General features: G+C 45.2%; 1 protein-coding gene across 11 annotated transcripts in view, besides 3 other annotated features; it reads left to right on the top strand.

The window, feature by feature from the left end:
* The window catches only part of SLC17A5 (solute carrier family 17 member 5), a 60,614-nt gene that overhangs the window by 42,249 nt on the left and 3,144 nt on the right, over positions 1-15,221 (top strand). For 8 of the 11 annotated variants that reach the window (NM_001382636.1, NM_001382629.1, NM_001382632.1 and 5 more), the window contains 2 exons: positions 1,197-1,344; positions 11,303-11,393. In NM_001382636.1, coding sequence (NP_001369565.1) covers positions 1,197-1,344; positions 11,303-11,393 — 239 coding nt within the window. Of the gene's footprint in view, positions 1-1,196; positions 1,345-11,302; positions 11,394-12,787; positions 12,886-15,221 lie in introns of those variants that run through there. The other 3 variants (NM_001382633.1, NM_001382630.1, XM_047418630.1) reach the window with 3 other exon arrangements.
* Positions 183-352: an enhancer, noted in NCBI's record as "experimental_94403 CRE fragment used in MPRA reporter constructs". NCBI's record gives its function as "activates a minimal promoter by MPRAs in K562 erythroleukemia cells, with activity observed for both the introgressed and non-introgressed 6:74321200 variant alleles {active_cell/tissue: K562}" and the evidence as "EXISTENCE:reporter gene assay evidence [ECO:0000049][PMID:34662402]".
* Positions 2,114-2,283: an enhancer, noted in NCBI's record as "experimental_94402 CRE fragment used in MPRA reporter constructs". NCBI's record gives its function as "activates a minimal promoter by MPRAs in K562 erythroleukemia cells, with activity observed for the non-introgressed 6:74319269 variant allele {active_cell/tissue: K562}" and the evidence as "EXISTENCE:reporter gene assay evidence [ECO:0000049][PMID:34662402]".
* Positions 13,416-13,585: an enhancer, noted in NCBI's record as "experimental_94401 CRE fragment used in MPRA reporter constructs". NCBI's record gives its function as "activates a minimal promoter by MPRAs in K562 erythroleukemia cells, with activity observed for both the introgressed and non-introgressed 6:74307967 variant alleles {active_cell/tissue: K562}" and the evidence as "EXISTENCE:reporter gene assay evidence [ECO:0000049][PMID:34662402]".

The raw sequence follows: 15,221 nt of genomic DNA, 5'->3' as shown, positions 1-15,221 counted from the left end.
TTGGATAGCACTGCTGTAGACACAGAAAAACTGACAGCCCACTCATTAAGTCTCTTCTCATATTTTACGCTTAACTGCCTGTAATGACCAATGTGTATTCTTATCAGTTGTTAATAATAGGGAGGATTCCTGCATATTAGGTGGGGCAGAAAAAAAAAAAACCAAGGCCGGGCATGGTGGCTCACACCTGTAATCCCAGCACTTTGGGAGGCAAGGTGGGTGGATCGCTTGAGGTCAGGAGTTCGAGAACGGCCTGGCCAACATGGCGAAACCCCATCTCTACTAAAAATACAAAAATTAGCTGGGTATGGTGGCCCAGGCCTGTAATTCCAGCTATTCAGGAGGCTGAGGCAGGAGAATCACTTGAACCTAGGAGGCAGAGGTGGCAGTGAGCCCAGATCACGCCACTGCACTCCAGCCTGGGTGACAGAGTGAGACTCCAGCTCAAAAAAAAGAGAGAGAGAATGAAGACAGAGATTTTAAAAAATCTTTTTAAGAAACAAGGTCTTGCTCTGACAACCCAGGCTGGAGTGCAGTGGTGCCATCATAGCTCACTGTAACCTTGAACTTCTGGGCTCAAGCAATCCTCCCACCTCAGCCTCCTGAGCAGCCAGGACTACAGGTGTGCACCACCATGCCTGGCGAATTTTGTTTTTAATATTTCGTAGAGACAGGGTCTTGCTGTGTTGCCCAGGCTGGCCTCAAACTCCTGGCCTCAAGTGATTCTCCCGCCTCAGCCTCCTAACGTGCTGGGATTACAGGTGTGAGCTGCCACACCCAGGCAAGATGGAGTATTATTCTAACCTCATCCAACAGAGTTTATTATTCAGTTTATCTCCTTTGGTTATATGTATTTTAAACCACATTCTGTGTCAGCTATTGCTTCTCTCTAGAAACATATTTTTAAGTTGTTCTTGTCTTGTTCTTCTCTAACACCATGGAATTTTAGCTGAGTTTTGGCCACATGTAGATTTAATAACATTGCATAATGAGATTTTCCTTTTATAGTATATTAGTTGTATTACGCCCATGTTTTCCAGCATTTTTTTTTTCTCATGAAATTTGTTAGTCTTCCAGGCAATATAGTGTTTCTACAGTAGGTGGCAGCAATTTCAAATTTCAGATTTATACCATATTAAGGTAGAGCAAATATTAATGCTGGGTGTTTTTTCCCTTTTATAACTTTTTAACTCCAGGAATGATTGGACCTGCAGTATTCCTGGTAGCTGCTGGCTTCATTGGCTGTGATTATTCTTTGGCCGTTGCTTTCCTAACTATATCAACAACACTGGGAGGCTTTTGCTCTTCTGGATTTAGCATCAACCATCTGGATATTGCTCCTTCGTGAGTACTAATATAAAGATTTGCTGTGATTGACTTTAAATTATATTTTTAAAAATCCTGATAAAAGGCCAGAGGCGGTGACTCACACCTGTAATCCCAGCACTTTGGGAGGCCAAGGCAGGCAGATAACCTGAGGTCAGGAGTTTGAGACCAGCCTGGCCAACATGGCGAAGCCCTATCTCTACTAAAAATACAAAAATTAGCCAGGCATGATGGCGGGCACCTGTAATCCCAGCTACTTAGGAGGCTGAGGCAGGAGAATCGCTTGAACCCAGGAGGCAGAGGTTGCAGTGAGCTGAGATCGCATCATTGCACTTCAGCCTGGGCAACAAGAGCAAGACTCCATCTAAAAAAAAAAAAACCTGATAAAATAGATATGATATAAAACTTACCATTTTAAGTATGCAGTTCTGTGGCATTAAGTATTCACATTGTTTCATAACTAGCACCACCAACAATCTCTAGAGCAATTTCATCTTCTCAACAGAAACTGTACCCGTTAAACACAATCTCCCATTTCTCCTTCCTCCCAGGCCCTGGCAACCAACATTCTACTTTCTGCCTCTATGGATTTGACTACTATAGGAATGACTTTAAATTCTTAACAGGATTTTAATTTACACAATAATTAAAGCAGGAAGTTGTTTTTAAATTTAAACTTTTAACTATCATCACCTCTGTCCACAGTGCTCTCATTAGAACATTGCAATAACTCATTACTGTGTCTGTTCACCCAACTAGACTAGGAACTCTGTGAAGGCAGAAACTCCCTTATTGTCCTCAGGGCTCTCCATGGCACTTGGCATGTAGTAGGCATTTTGTCAGATGAATGAATGTGAAAGAGTAGACCCAATTGATTTGTCTAACTATATTACCTATGTGCAAATATATTTGTGTAGCCCTTGATAGTTTACACATCACTTTCATAAACACTATCCATTTTACCCTTAAAGCATTCCTTTGAAGTAAGTATTTTTGCCCTATTTGAACGCTAAAGAAACTTAAGAGAAGTTAAGTGATTTATCTTGCAGCACACAGCTAATATAATAAATGATAGAGCCAAAACTTGAACCTAAAATTTTTACTTTTAAGCCCAAAATTCTTTCTACAGCTACCTCTCTGGAAATATTCTTTGAGCCACATACTTCTAAAACCATTTTGTGCCAGCTGACAAGGTAAATAAGGGAGCTATGTAAATATTTTAACCCAAAAGTTTTAATACACTTTATTTGTAAAAATAATAGATATAAATTTATTTTGGAGAAAAGACAGATGGACTCTTACCCTCTTTTCACTACCTCAAAATCTTCACACCTGGACTCCTACAGAATCTTCTGATTTCTATGAATCCTCAGTCTCCTATCTCTTCAATAAATACTCTAAGATAAGCTGCACTCTGTCACCCAGGCTAGAGTGCAGTGACGCCACTGTAGTTCACTGTGGCCTTGAACTCCTGGGATCAAGTAATCCTTCCTGCTCAGCCTCCTGAGTCGCTGGGACTGCAGGCATACATCACCATGCCTGGTTAATTTTTCAAAAAATATTTTGTAGAGATGGGGTCTCCCTATCTTGCCCAGGGTGGTCTCAGTCTCCTGGCCTCAAGTAATCTTCCCGCCTCAGCCCCCCGAAGTGCTAGGATTACAGGCGTGGGCCACAGCACCTGGCCAAGACTTGAGGTTTTGTCAAGCCTAGGATTGACGAATAGTCAAAGGGATATGGGAATTGAGAGTTTTGGCAAGAAATAGTTCTAGGCTATGTTATCGCTTAGGATGTTTTTAGTTGAAGTATAGAAATTCTAATTTAAACTGGGCTAAACAGCATAATCTATTGATTCACTTAATTGTATCCAGAAATAATAGGCTTCAGGCAAGAGTTGATATCCAGCTGCCTACTAATATCACCACAGATTGTTTCTTTCTCACTCTCTGTCTTTTACAGTAGTAGTTTTGTCCTAAGACTGGGTCTGCTTATAAAATCACACAATGAAATGATTGCCAGCAACAATCAGGACTACATGCTTCTTCATTCACATCAAGCAGAAAGAAAAGGATCTTTTCCTCTCTCCACCATGGAAATAAGTCCTGGGCTTCATTTTGGTTGACCCAAACTGAGTCACATGAACCAACCCCAATGGCCAAGAGAATATCATGTGACTTTAGGACAATCAGCACCTACCCCAAAAGTTAGAAGTCAAAGGGTCAGTGCCCCTCAGACATCACTATTGCTACACAGATGGGGGTGGGGAGTGGGAATGGATGCTGAGGAATCCATCGGTAACATCCATTATAACACATGAAGATGTAAATAAACATGAGTCATTTTGAGCCGGGCACGGTAGTTCACGCCTGTAATCCCAACACTTTGGGAGGCTGAGGCGGGTGGATCACCTGAGGTCAGGAGTTCGAGATCAGCCTGGCCAACATGGTGAAACCCCATCTCTACTAAAAATACAAAAATTAGCAGGGTGTGATGGCACACACCTGTAGTCTCAGCTTCTCAGGAGGCTGAGGCAGGAGAATCGCTTGAACCCGGGAGGCAGAGGTTGCTGTGAGCCAAGATTGTGCCACTGTGCTCCAGCCTGGGTGACAAAGTGAGACTCCATCTCAAAAAAAAAAAAAAAAAAATTATAAGGAACATAAAATTGGTTCAGCAGCCATCCAGCCAGAAGGTGGTAAGTCACCCACACCATTTAATAAATCTGAAAGGTAGCTTAGGATTCATCAGGTTCCTGAAGTCTTATTAGAATCTCTGGAATCTGATGAGGGCCCCCCCTGCTCTCTTGAACTAGCAATGAAAGAAAATTGGATCATCGGATAAAAATTGGAGCTATGGTCGGCCGGGTGTAATGGCTCATGCCTGTAATCCCGGCACTTTGGGAGACCAAGGTGGGCAGATCACCTGAGGTCAGGAGTTCAAGACCAGCCTGGCCAACATGGTGAAACTCTGTCTCTACTAAAAATATAAAATTAGCCAGGTGGGGTGGTAGGACCTGTAATCCCAGCTACTTGGAAGGATGAGGCAGAAAATCACTTGAACCTGGGAGGTGGAGGTTGCAGTGAGCAATTGCACTCTAGCCTGGGTGACAAGAGTGAAACTCCATCTCAAAAAAAAAAAAAATAGTGCTATTGTCAAAAGATGAAAATAGATGCTGAAGAAAAAGAAAACCAAATATCCATGGTACCTACCTTATAAGATCGTTGTGAAGATTAAATAGAACACGCACAGAACACTTTGCTCATAATGCAATAAAGGTATTTGCATATAATGCAATAGATGTAATTATTTTCTGGCTAACTTTGAGTCAGGTGTGGTGACCAGGGTCACAGATCAATCCAAGTAAAATATTAAAGTGATGATTGGTGTGCTTTCAGAAAGGAAAATGCTGACCACTAAAGAGCCACCATTGGGTCACTAAGAGCCAAAATGGCAAAACAGTCTAACTTCTCAACATAATTTTTAGCCTAATAGAATAAAGAAAATATAGTAGATTTGATATGTCAGGACTTCAGCCAGGCCTCCTATGATAGATGCCGTTTTGGACAAGGTGGAGAAAGATGAATTGGATGTACAATTAGATAAATTTGTCACTACTAAATTTCAGTGTAATAGCATGCTCATTAACGGATCTAGTCATTTGAGAAACACTGTGCCAGGCACTGTACCAGATGTTGAAGACACAAACATGAAAGTAACATGATTCCTGCTGGCATCTGTATAAGCTTAAGCTGGCCTGGATGATGGTGGGTCATGTCATGAAGTATAATGCTGGACAGGCAGCAGGGGGATCCTGTGCCTGAGCTTCAAGCATCAGGTGGGTGGTTGAAGTCTACATCTTAAAGACCCAGGTCCAACCCTGAAATTTTATGAGTCTTATAAGCCGAAAAAGACATTTATCTAGATATCATAAGAAGCTAAACAGGTTTAGTAACATAAATGATGCCAGCAAATAGTTGTAGCAGTTGGGAGGATGGTAAGCAAGTGCCTTTGTGCCTCAGATAATGAGGACTGCTGTACTGGTTCTCAGCTGACTGAGACACAACTATTCCAAATGTAAGTAGGCCCGGTGAGGTGGCTCATGCCTGTAATCCCAGCACTTTGGGAGGCTGAGGCGGTTGGATCGTTTGAGGTTAGGAGCTCCAGACCAGCCTGACCAACATGGTGAAACCCCATCTCTACTAAAAATACAAAAATTAACCAGGTGTGGTGGCGGGCGACTATAATCCCACTGACTCAGGAGGCTGAGGCATGAGAATTGCTTGAACCCAGGAGTTGGAGGTTGCAGTGAGCAGAGATTGTGCTACTGCACTCCAGCCTGGGCTGCAGAGTGAGACTCAGTCTCAAAAAATTAAATAAATAAATAAATAAATAAATCTCATCAAATTCAAAATTATTATTATTTGTTTTTTGTTTTGTTTTGTTTTTGAGATGGAGTTTCACTCTTGTTGCCCAGGCTGGAGTGCAATGGTGCAATCTCAGCTCACCGCAACCTCTGCCTCTTGGGTTCAAGTGATTCTCCTGCCTCAGCCTCCCAAGTAGCTGGGATTACAGGCATGTGCCACCACACCCTGCTAATTTTGTATTTTTAGTAGAGAGGGAGTTTCTCCATGTTGGTCATGCTGGTCTCGAACTCCCGACCTCAGGTGATCCGCCAGCCTCAACCTCCCAAAGTGCTAGGATTACAGGCGTGAGCCACCATGCCCAGCCCAAAGTCAAAATTATTTATCTCCCTTAGTGTGTGTGTGTGTGTGTGTGTGTGTGTGTGTGTGTGTTTAAACCTTGCAGTTCTAGCTCAAAGGATAACTTTCTTATATTTTGATTCAGCTCTTCAGATGAGCTTTTTAGTTTTTCTTTTCCAACTGGAATTTCTTCATTCAAAGCACATCAGTTATTTCTAGTTGCAGGAGTCTTGGCTACATATCTTATTGGGGATTACATATCTTAGGTTTTTCATAGTTGCTTTTTGTTGTGGTAACAACTGAGGGCCCATTCAGTGTAATACGCTACTAGTTAAAACAGAGGCACTTGAGGACCATAAACAAGCCATAAACAAGTTCAACACCAGGGCTTGTGGTGAAAAATGAAGCATGAGAAAATTTATCTTTCCTACAGATTGGGTTCAGTGATTACTGTGTTTTGTTTTTTTTAACAAGGTAGCATTGTAGATTATAACATTATAATATTAAGTACTGATTCAGAATCAGACAAATTGGGTGACATTTTATGGTTTTTCTTCATCTATAAAATGAAGATAATCCAGCTGGGTGCAGTGGCTCTCGCCTGTAATCCCAGGACTTCGGAAGGCCAAGGTGGGAGGATCGTTTGGGCCCAGCAGTTCAAGACCTGCCTGGGCAATATAGCAAGATCGTACCTCTAAAAAACTTAACAAAATTTTAAAATTTTAAAAATAAAATGAAGATAATCCTTCCTCATGGGGTTGATTTTATAATTAAAATGATATAATATGATATATAAAACCCTTATAAACATGTCTGATATCAGGTTTTCCAATACATAGTCAGTAAACAGATACAAGGTTTTCCAATAAATAATATTCCTATTAACATATAAATGTGTACTTGGATTTTATAGGCCTTTACTTCTATAGACTGAAATAGAGATTTTATGTTATCAATGTATTTATTATCTTTTGAGGCAGAGTCACACCCTGTCACCCAGGCTGGAGTACAGCAGCAAGACCACGGCTCACTGCAGTCGCAAGCAATCCTCCTGCAATCCTCCACCTCAGCCTCCTGAGTAGCGAGCGGGTCTACAGCCTGAGCCAACACACCCAGCTAATTTTGTGTGTTTTTTTAGTTTTTGTAGAGAGAGGGTTTCACCATGTTGCCCAGGCTAGTCTCAAACTCCTGGGCTCAAGCAATTCTCCCACCTCAGCCTCCCAAAATGCTGGGATTACAGGCATGCACCACCACACCCGGCCCCAAAATAGAGATTTTTCTATGGTAATTTTGTTGCCCGAATTCATGGGAATTAGATAGATTTTCAGCTATTAATTCCAATAGTACTCCAACAGCACAGAATCCAGACTGAGTCCATACAACTTGTTTTCTTCCAAGTGGTCATCAATCTTTCATGGCCTGTCCTGGCCAAGTGAAATATAAGTACTTGAATGAGCTTCTTGTTGCTGACATTTAGAATTTCATGGCATTCGTCTGCACTTAATATCTGTCACTGGAAAGGCTGGCAACATTGCAGTTGACTCCTCTTACTGCCAAGGTGTTAATGGTTTAAAAAGAAAAAAAAAAAAGAGAGGCTCTGCCAAGCTTGGTTAATTTAGATACACCCCTAAAGGGGATGAGCCAAAAAGATCTGTACTTCATGGTTTTGTTATAGTGCTGTGTGTATGCACAAGTTTTGAACATAAAACTTTGTGATCTTTATACATAACTGAATTAGTTAAGCAGCACTTTTTTTAACTGAACTCCTCCTTCTCCTTTAAGTGTTTTTTTTTTGTTTTTTGTTTTTGTTTTTGTTTTTTACCAAAAACATTAAACCTAAATCTAATGAACCCCCTAGGATCTAGAGTCTAGAAACTATCAGTGTACAGGAAATACAGGAGGTATAAGATTATGTGAAATGATACCTAAGAGATACAATCTTCAAAGTCCAGAATTCATGAATATATACAGGACAAACATCCTAGTAAAGGGACAGCAATTTTAGGCCAGGCGCAGTGGCTCGCTCCTGTAATCCCAGCACTATGGGAGGCTGGGGCAGGTGGATCACCTGAGGTCAGGAGTTTGAGACCAGCCTAACCAACGTGGTGAAACCCCGTTTCTACTAAAAATACAAAATTACCCAGGTATGGTGGTGCATGCCTGTAATCCCAGCTACTCAGGAGGCTGAGGAAGGAGAATCACTTGAACTGGGGAGGTGGAAGTTGTAATGAGCCAAGATCACACCATTGCACTCCAGTCTGGGCAACAAGAGTGAAACTCTGTCTCAAAAAAAAAAAAAAAAAGAGGCAGCAATTTTAAAAATGAATTATCGGGCCAGGTGCAGTGGCTCACGCCTGTAATCCCAGCAATTTGGCAATTTGGGAGGCTGAGGCAGGTGGATCACCTGAGATCAGGAGTTCAAGACCAGCCTGACCTACATGGCATGCGTGTATAGTCCCAGCTACTTGGGAGGCTGAAGCAGAAGAATCACTTGAACCTAGGAGGCGGAGGTTGCAATGAGCTGAGATCGCGCCACTGTACTCCAGCCTGAGCGACAGAGACTCCGTCTCAAAAAAAAAAATGTAATTAATGGAACAAGCAAATTTTATGTTTGATATGATCTCACGTCTATAATAACATACTAGAAATATATACAGACAGAAAAAAATAGGATATTTATGAAAATGTTAATGTTGATCATCTCTATGGGGAAGAATTATAGGTAATTTTACTTCATTATTTTTTTCTTTTTTCGTATTAATTTTCAAAAATTAATTACAATTGAATTTTCAAATCAGGAAAGAAATTTTTTTTAACTTAAAAAACTTTAAGCTAGACATGCTAAGCTTTCTGTATGAAAATGATATCTCAGAACTTTCCTATATCACTATAAAAAGGGGTTATTTCCATGGCTGTGTTCCTGTATGTAATTTTTTTTTTTTTTTTTTTGAGACGGAGTCTCGCTCTGTCGGCCAGGCTGGAGTGCAGTGGCGCGATCTCTGCTCACTGCAAGCTCCGCCTCCCAGGTTCACGCCATTCTCCTGCCTCAGCCTCCCGAGTAGCTGGGACTAGAGGCGCCTGCCATCACGGCCGGCTAATTTTTTTGTATTTTTGGTAGAGACGGGGTTTCACCATGTTAGCCAGCATGGTCTCGATCTCCTGACCTCGTGATCCACCCGCCTCGGCCTCCCAAAGTGCTGGGATTACAAGCGTGAGCCACCGCGCCCAGCCTTCCTCTAATGTTAATGTTTTTTGTTGTTGTTGTTGTTGTTAATTTTTATTTTTTTTATTGATCATTCTTGGGTGTTTCTCACAGAGGGGGATTTGGCAGGGTCATAGGACAATAGTGGAGGGAAGGTCGGCAGATAAACAAGTGAACAAAGGTCTCTGGTTTTCCTAGGCAGAGGACCCTGCGGCGTTCCGCAGTGTTTGTGTCCCTGGGTACTTGAGATTAGGGAGTGGTGATGATTCTTAACGAGCATGCTGCCTTCAAGCATCTGTTTAACAAAGCACATCTTGCACCGCCCTTAATCCATTTAACCCTGAGTGGACACAGCACATGTTTCAGAGAGCACAGGGTTGGGGGTAAGGTCACCGATCAACAGGATCCCAAGGCAGAAGAATGTATCTTAGTACAGAACAAAATGAAAAGTCTCCCATGTCTACTTCTTTCTACACAGACACGGCAACCATCCGATTTCTCAATCTTTTCCCCACCTTTCCCCCCTTTCTATTCCACAAAACCGCCATTGTCATCCCAGCCCGTTCTCAATGAGCTGTTGGGTACACCTCCCAGACGGGGTGGTGGCCGGGCAGAGGGGCTCCTCACTTCCCAGTAGGGGCGGCCGGGCAGAGGCGCCCCTCACCTCCCGGACGGGGCGGCTGGCCGGGCAGGGGGCTGACCCCCCCACCTCCCTCCCGGACGGAGCGGCTGGCCGGGCAGAGGGGCTCCTCACTTCTCAGTAGGGGCGGCTGGGCAGAGGCGCCCCTCACCTCCCGGACGGGGCGGCTGGCCGGGCGGGGGGCTGACCACCCCACCTCCCTCCTGGACGGGGCATCTGGCTGGGCGGGGGGCTGACCCCCCCCCACCTCCCTCCCGGACGGGGCGGCTGGCCGGGCAGCAGGGCTCCTCACTTCCCAGTAGGGGCGGCCGGGCAGAGGCTCCCCTCACCTCCCGGACGGGTTGGCTGGCCGGGCGGGGGGCTGACCCCCCCACCTCCCTCCCGGACGGGGCGGCTGGCCAGGCGGGGTGCTGACCCCCCCACCTCCCTCCCGGACGGGGCGGCTGGCCGGGCGCGGGGCTGACCCCCCCACCTCCCTCCCGGACGGGGCGGCTGCCGGGCGGAGACGCTCCTCACTTCCCAGACGGGGTGGCTGCCGGGCAGAGGGGCTCCTCACTTCTCAGACGGGGCGGCTGCCGGGCGGAGGGGCTCCTCACTTCTCAGACGGGGCGGCTGGGCAGAGACGCTCCTCACCTTCCAGACGGGGTCGGGGCCAGGCAGAGGCGCTCCTCACATCCCAGACGGGGCGGCGGGGCAGAGGCGCTCCCCACATCTCAGACGATGGGCGGCCGGGCAGAGACGCTCCTCACTTCCCAGATGGGATGGCTGCCGGGAAGAGGCGCTCCTCACTTCCTAGATGGGATGGCGGCCGGGCAGAGACGCTCCTCACTTTCCAGACTGGGCATCCAGGCAGAGGGTCTCCTCACTTCCCAGACGATGGGCGGCCAGGCAGAGACGCTCCTCACTTCCCAGACGGGGTGGCGGCCGGGCCTAATGTTAATGTTAAAATGCTACTTAACTATTGAAATGCAAGTTTTTCACCAGCTGAATATAAAATCCCATTGCAATAAGACATTTTATTTAGACATAAAATTTCACAAGAACACAACCTGGAGCAGAATAGCTGTCTATTGAAAGAAGCAGCCAGGCGCTGTGGCTCATACTTGAAATCCCAGCACTTTGGGAGGCCGAGGCAGGCAGATCACTTGAGGTCAGGAGCTCGAGAGCAGCCTGGCCAACATGGTGAGACACCGGCTCTACTAAAAATACAAAACTAGCCCAGCATGATGGTGGATGCCTGTAGTCCCCGCTACTCAGGAGGCTAAGGCATGCTTGAACCCGGGAGGCAGAGGCTGCAGTGAGCTGAGATCATCCCACTGCCCTCAAGCCTGGGCCACAGAGTGAGACTCTGTCTCAAAAAAAAAAAAAAAAAAGAAGGAAAGAATGAAGCTGTTTAAATGTGTATCACAATAATAAACGTCTATGAAAATGTTTCTACAGGTATGCTGGTATCCTCCTGGGCATCACAAATACATTTGCCACTATTCCAGGAATGGTTGGGCCCGTCATTGCTAAAAGTCTGACCCCTGATGTAAGTAGATAATTTACTTGTAAACTGGAAAGGTTTTGGAGCTGCACATCTGTGTCAAAGTTCAGTGTATTTTAATTAAGTTTAAAATTCTAAATGTTCTTATGAAATTCTTTTTAGCAACAAAAAGCTAAATGCCTTAATGGATGGGAAAGTATATTTTCAAAGAACAGTTTTTGGATTTTAGACAAAACAATTGAACTAAGTCAAATGAAGACACTGTAGCTGAAACCACACAAGTAGTTAAAAGTTGTGATATTGGCCGGGTGCAGTGGCTCATGCCTGTAATCCCAGCACTTTGGGAGGCCGAGGCAGGTGGATCACGAGGTCAGGAGTTCAATACCAGCCTCACCAACATGGTGAAACCCCGTCTCTACTAAAAATACAAAAATTAGCCGGTGTGGTGGCAGGTGCCTGTAGTCCCAGCTACTCAGGAGGCTGAGGCACAAGAATCGCTCAAACCCAGGAGGCGGAGGTTGCAGTAAGCCAACATCACCACTGCACTCCAGTCTGGCAACAGAGCAAGACTCCGTCTCAAAAAAAAAAAAAGAATTTCAGGACATACTTACAGACTTTCTTATTACCAAATATACTGATTTCAGACATATATCCGACAGATAGTGTTCCTACTTCTTCTCCACATCTACCATTTCTAATTCCTTAAGTGACACGGTACCTGTTACTATTTCCTCTCACTTAATAAAAAGGAATGTTGTAGAAATGCTTTTTCTAAAGTTCTGTGTCTCAATATGGACATGTCCAAAATGTTTAACCTTGTCCTCATGGAGCAGGGTGGCAACACCAGAACCTAAGTCAGCTCACTACCATGTGTTCATTTCACTTACTGATAATGCCAGCACTTCTGCTAGGGAAATATGGATTCCTGAATTACAGTCTTGTATGTTTACAAGTGGGAACTGCGCTTGATTTGGGATATGTTACAGCATTTGTTTAATGCTATTAAAAGGATATCACTGTTTTAGCTGGGTGTGGTTTGTACCTGTAGTCCCAGCTACTTAGGAGGCTGAGGCAGGTGGATGCATAAGCCCAGGGTTTTGAGGCTGCAGTGAGCTATGATCATGCCTCTGCACTCCAGCCTGGGTGAGAGCGGGAGACCCTGTCTCAAAAAAATAAAATAAATAAAAAATAAAAATAAAAAAATAAACAAAATAAAATAAGTTTCGCACTCCGTTGCCCAGTCTGGAGTACAGTGGTGCAGTCTCAGCTCACTGCAACCTCTGCCTCCCAAGTTCAAGCGATTCTCCTGCCTCAGCCTCCCAGGTAGCTGGAACTACAGGCACTCACCACCATGCCCTGCTAATTTTTGTTTTTTGTTTGTGTGTGTGTGTGTTTTTTGGTTTTTTTTTTTGAGACGGAGTTTCGCTCTTGTTGCCCAGGCTGGAGTACAATGGCGCAATCTCAGCTCACCACAACCTTTGCCTCCCGGGTTCCGGCGATTTTCCTGCCTCAGCCTCCCGAATAGCTGGGATTACAGGCATGTGCCACCACGCCCAGCTAATTTTGTATTTTTAATAGAGACGGAGCTTCTCCATGTTGGTCAGGCTGGTTTGGAACTCAGGTGATCCGCCCATCTCGGCCTCCCAAAGTGCTGGGATTACAGGAGTGAGCCACTGCACCCGGCCAAATAAAACTCTAAAGTATATTATTTTTAAAAAGGAAAAGCACACACTTACCTTCACAATTGTAATTTCTTTCTTCTTTTTGAGATGAAGTCTCACTCGTCCCCCAGGTTGGAGGGCAGTGGCGTGATCTCAGCTCACTGCAACCTCCGCCTCCCAGGTTCAAACAATTCTCCTGCCTCAGCCTCCCAAGTAGCTAGGACTACAGGCACGTGCCACCACACCCGGCTAATTTTTGAATTTTTAGTACAGATGGGGTTTCACCATGTTGGCCAGGCTGGTCTCGAACTTCTGACCTCAAATGATCCACCCGCCTCAGCCTCCCAAAGTGCTGGGATATCAGGCATGAGCCACCGCGCCCAGCCTGTAATTTCTTACTTTGAGCACTGCCTCAAAAACTTTGTGGAATGAGTCAGCATATAAATAAATAATGCAATAATTAAAATTCAAAGTGTGTCTGAGGTTCAATGTTGTTATAAACAAAACAGTATTCTCTAAAAACTGGTGGAATTTTTGTTAAAAAACAAACTAGGAGCTGTGTGAGACTTGTAGTACAACGATTGATTTTAAGTTCACTCATTGCCTTCAGATAACACTGAAGTATTATTTTGTCCCAGAGACCACACAGGGCAGCTTTGTCTTAGTAATCCTAAGAAGCTGTTTCAAACATTTCTTTCTGGTATAAGATGTAATTATTGACTGATTCCTCAGCAGAATTTAAGATGAGTATCTAAGATTTTTTTTCATTAAAATGCACTCATCTCAGACAAGTATAGCCACCACAGGGTGTTTCTTTCTTCATGTTTCTCCTTTTTTCCCAAATAAATGACCTCATACTGGCTTCCCAGTGCCTTCTCTTTCACTTCCTCATTGCTAGTTCTACTGCTTGTTTGTTTGGGTTTTTTGTTTGTTTGTTTGTTTCTTTGTTTTTTGAGACAGGGTCTCCATCGCCCAGGCTAGAGTGCAGTGGCGCAATCATGGCTCACTGCAGCCTCAACCTCCCCAGGCTCAGGTGATCTTCCTACCTCAGCCCCCCAAGTAGCTGGGACTACAGATGTACACTACCATGTCCAGCTAATTTTCCTACTTCTTGTAAAGATGGGGTTTCACCACCTTGCCCAGGCTGGTCTCAAACTCCAGGGCTCAAGGTAGCCACCTACCTCGGCCTCCCAAAGTGCTGGGATTACAGGCATGAGCCGCCATGCCTGGCCTGCTTGGTTTTTTTTGTTTTGTTTTGTTTTGTTTTTGAGACGGAGTCTCACTCTGTTGCCCAGGCTGGAGTGCAGTGGCACGATCTTGGCTCACTGCAAACTCCGCCTCCCGGGTTCACGCCATTCTCCTGCCTCAGCCTCCCAAGTAGCTGGGATTACAGGTGCCCACCACCACGCCTGGCTAATTTTTTGTCTTTTTAGTAGAGACGGGGTTTCACCTTGTTAGCCAGGACAGTCTCCATCTCCTGACCTCGTGATCCGCCCACCATGGCCTCCCAAAGTGCTAGGATTACAGGCGTAAGCCACCACGCCTGGCCTGGTTTATTTATTTATTTATTTTTGAGACGGAGTTTCACTCTTGTTCCCCAGGCTGGAGTGCAATGGCATGATCTCAGCTCACTGCAACCTCCGCCTCCCAGGTTCAAGCAATTCTCCTGCCTCAGCCTCCCGAGTAGCTGGGATTACAGGAGCCTGCCACCACGCCCAGCTAATTTTTGTATTTTTAGTAGGGACAGGGTCTCGCCATGTTGGCCAGGCTGGTCTTGAACTCCTGACCTCGGGTGATCCACCCACCTCAGCCTCCCAAAGTGCTGGGATTACAAGCATGAGCCACCACGCCCAACCAGTTTTGTTTTGTTTTGTTTTTGAGAGGGAGTCTTGCTCTGTTGCCCAAGCTGGAGTGCAGTGGAGCGATCTCAGCCTCACTGCAAGCTCCACCTCCCAGGTTCACGCCATTCTCCTGCCTCAGCCTCCCGAGTAGCTGGGACTACAGGCACCAGCCACCACGCCCGGCTAATTTTTTATTTTTTTAGTAAAGACGGGGTTTCACCATGTTAGCCAGGATGGTCTCGATCTCCTGACCTCATGATCCGCCCGCCTCGGCCTCCCAAAGTGCTGGGATTACAGGCGTGATCCACCACGCCCGGCCGTGTGTTTCTTAGTTAATGCTGCAAATGTAGTCACCACTCTGGTTAGACTGA

This window comes from Homo sapiens, chromosome 6 (assembly GCF_000001405.40).
Source record: "Homo sapiens chromosome 6, GRCh38.p14 Primary Assembly".
Classification (NCBI taxonomy): domain Eukaryota; kingdom Metazoa; phylum Chordata; class Mammalia; order Primates; family Hominidae; genus Homo; species Homo sapiens.
This window is presented reverse-complemented; position numbering and strand designations above follow the sequence as displayed.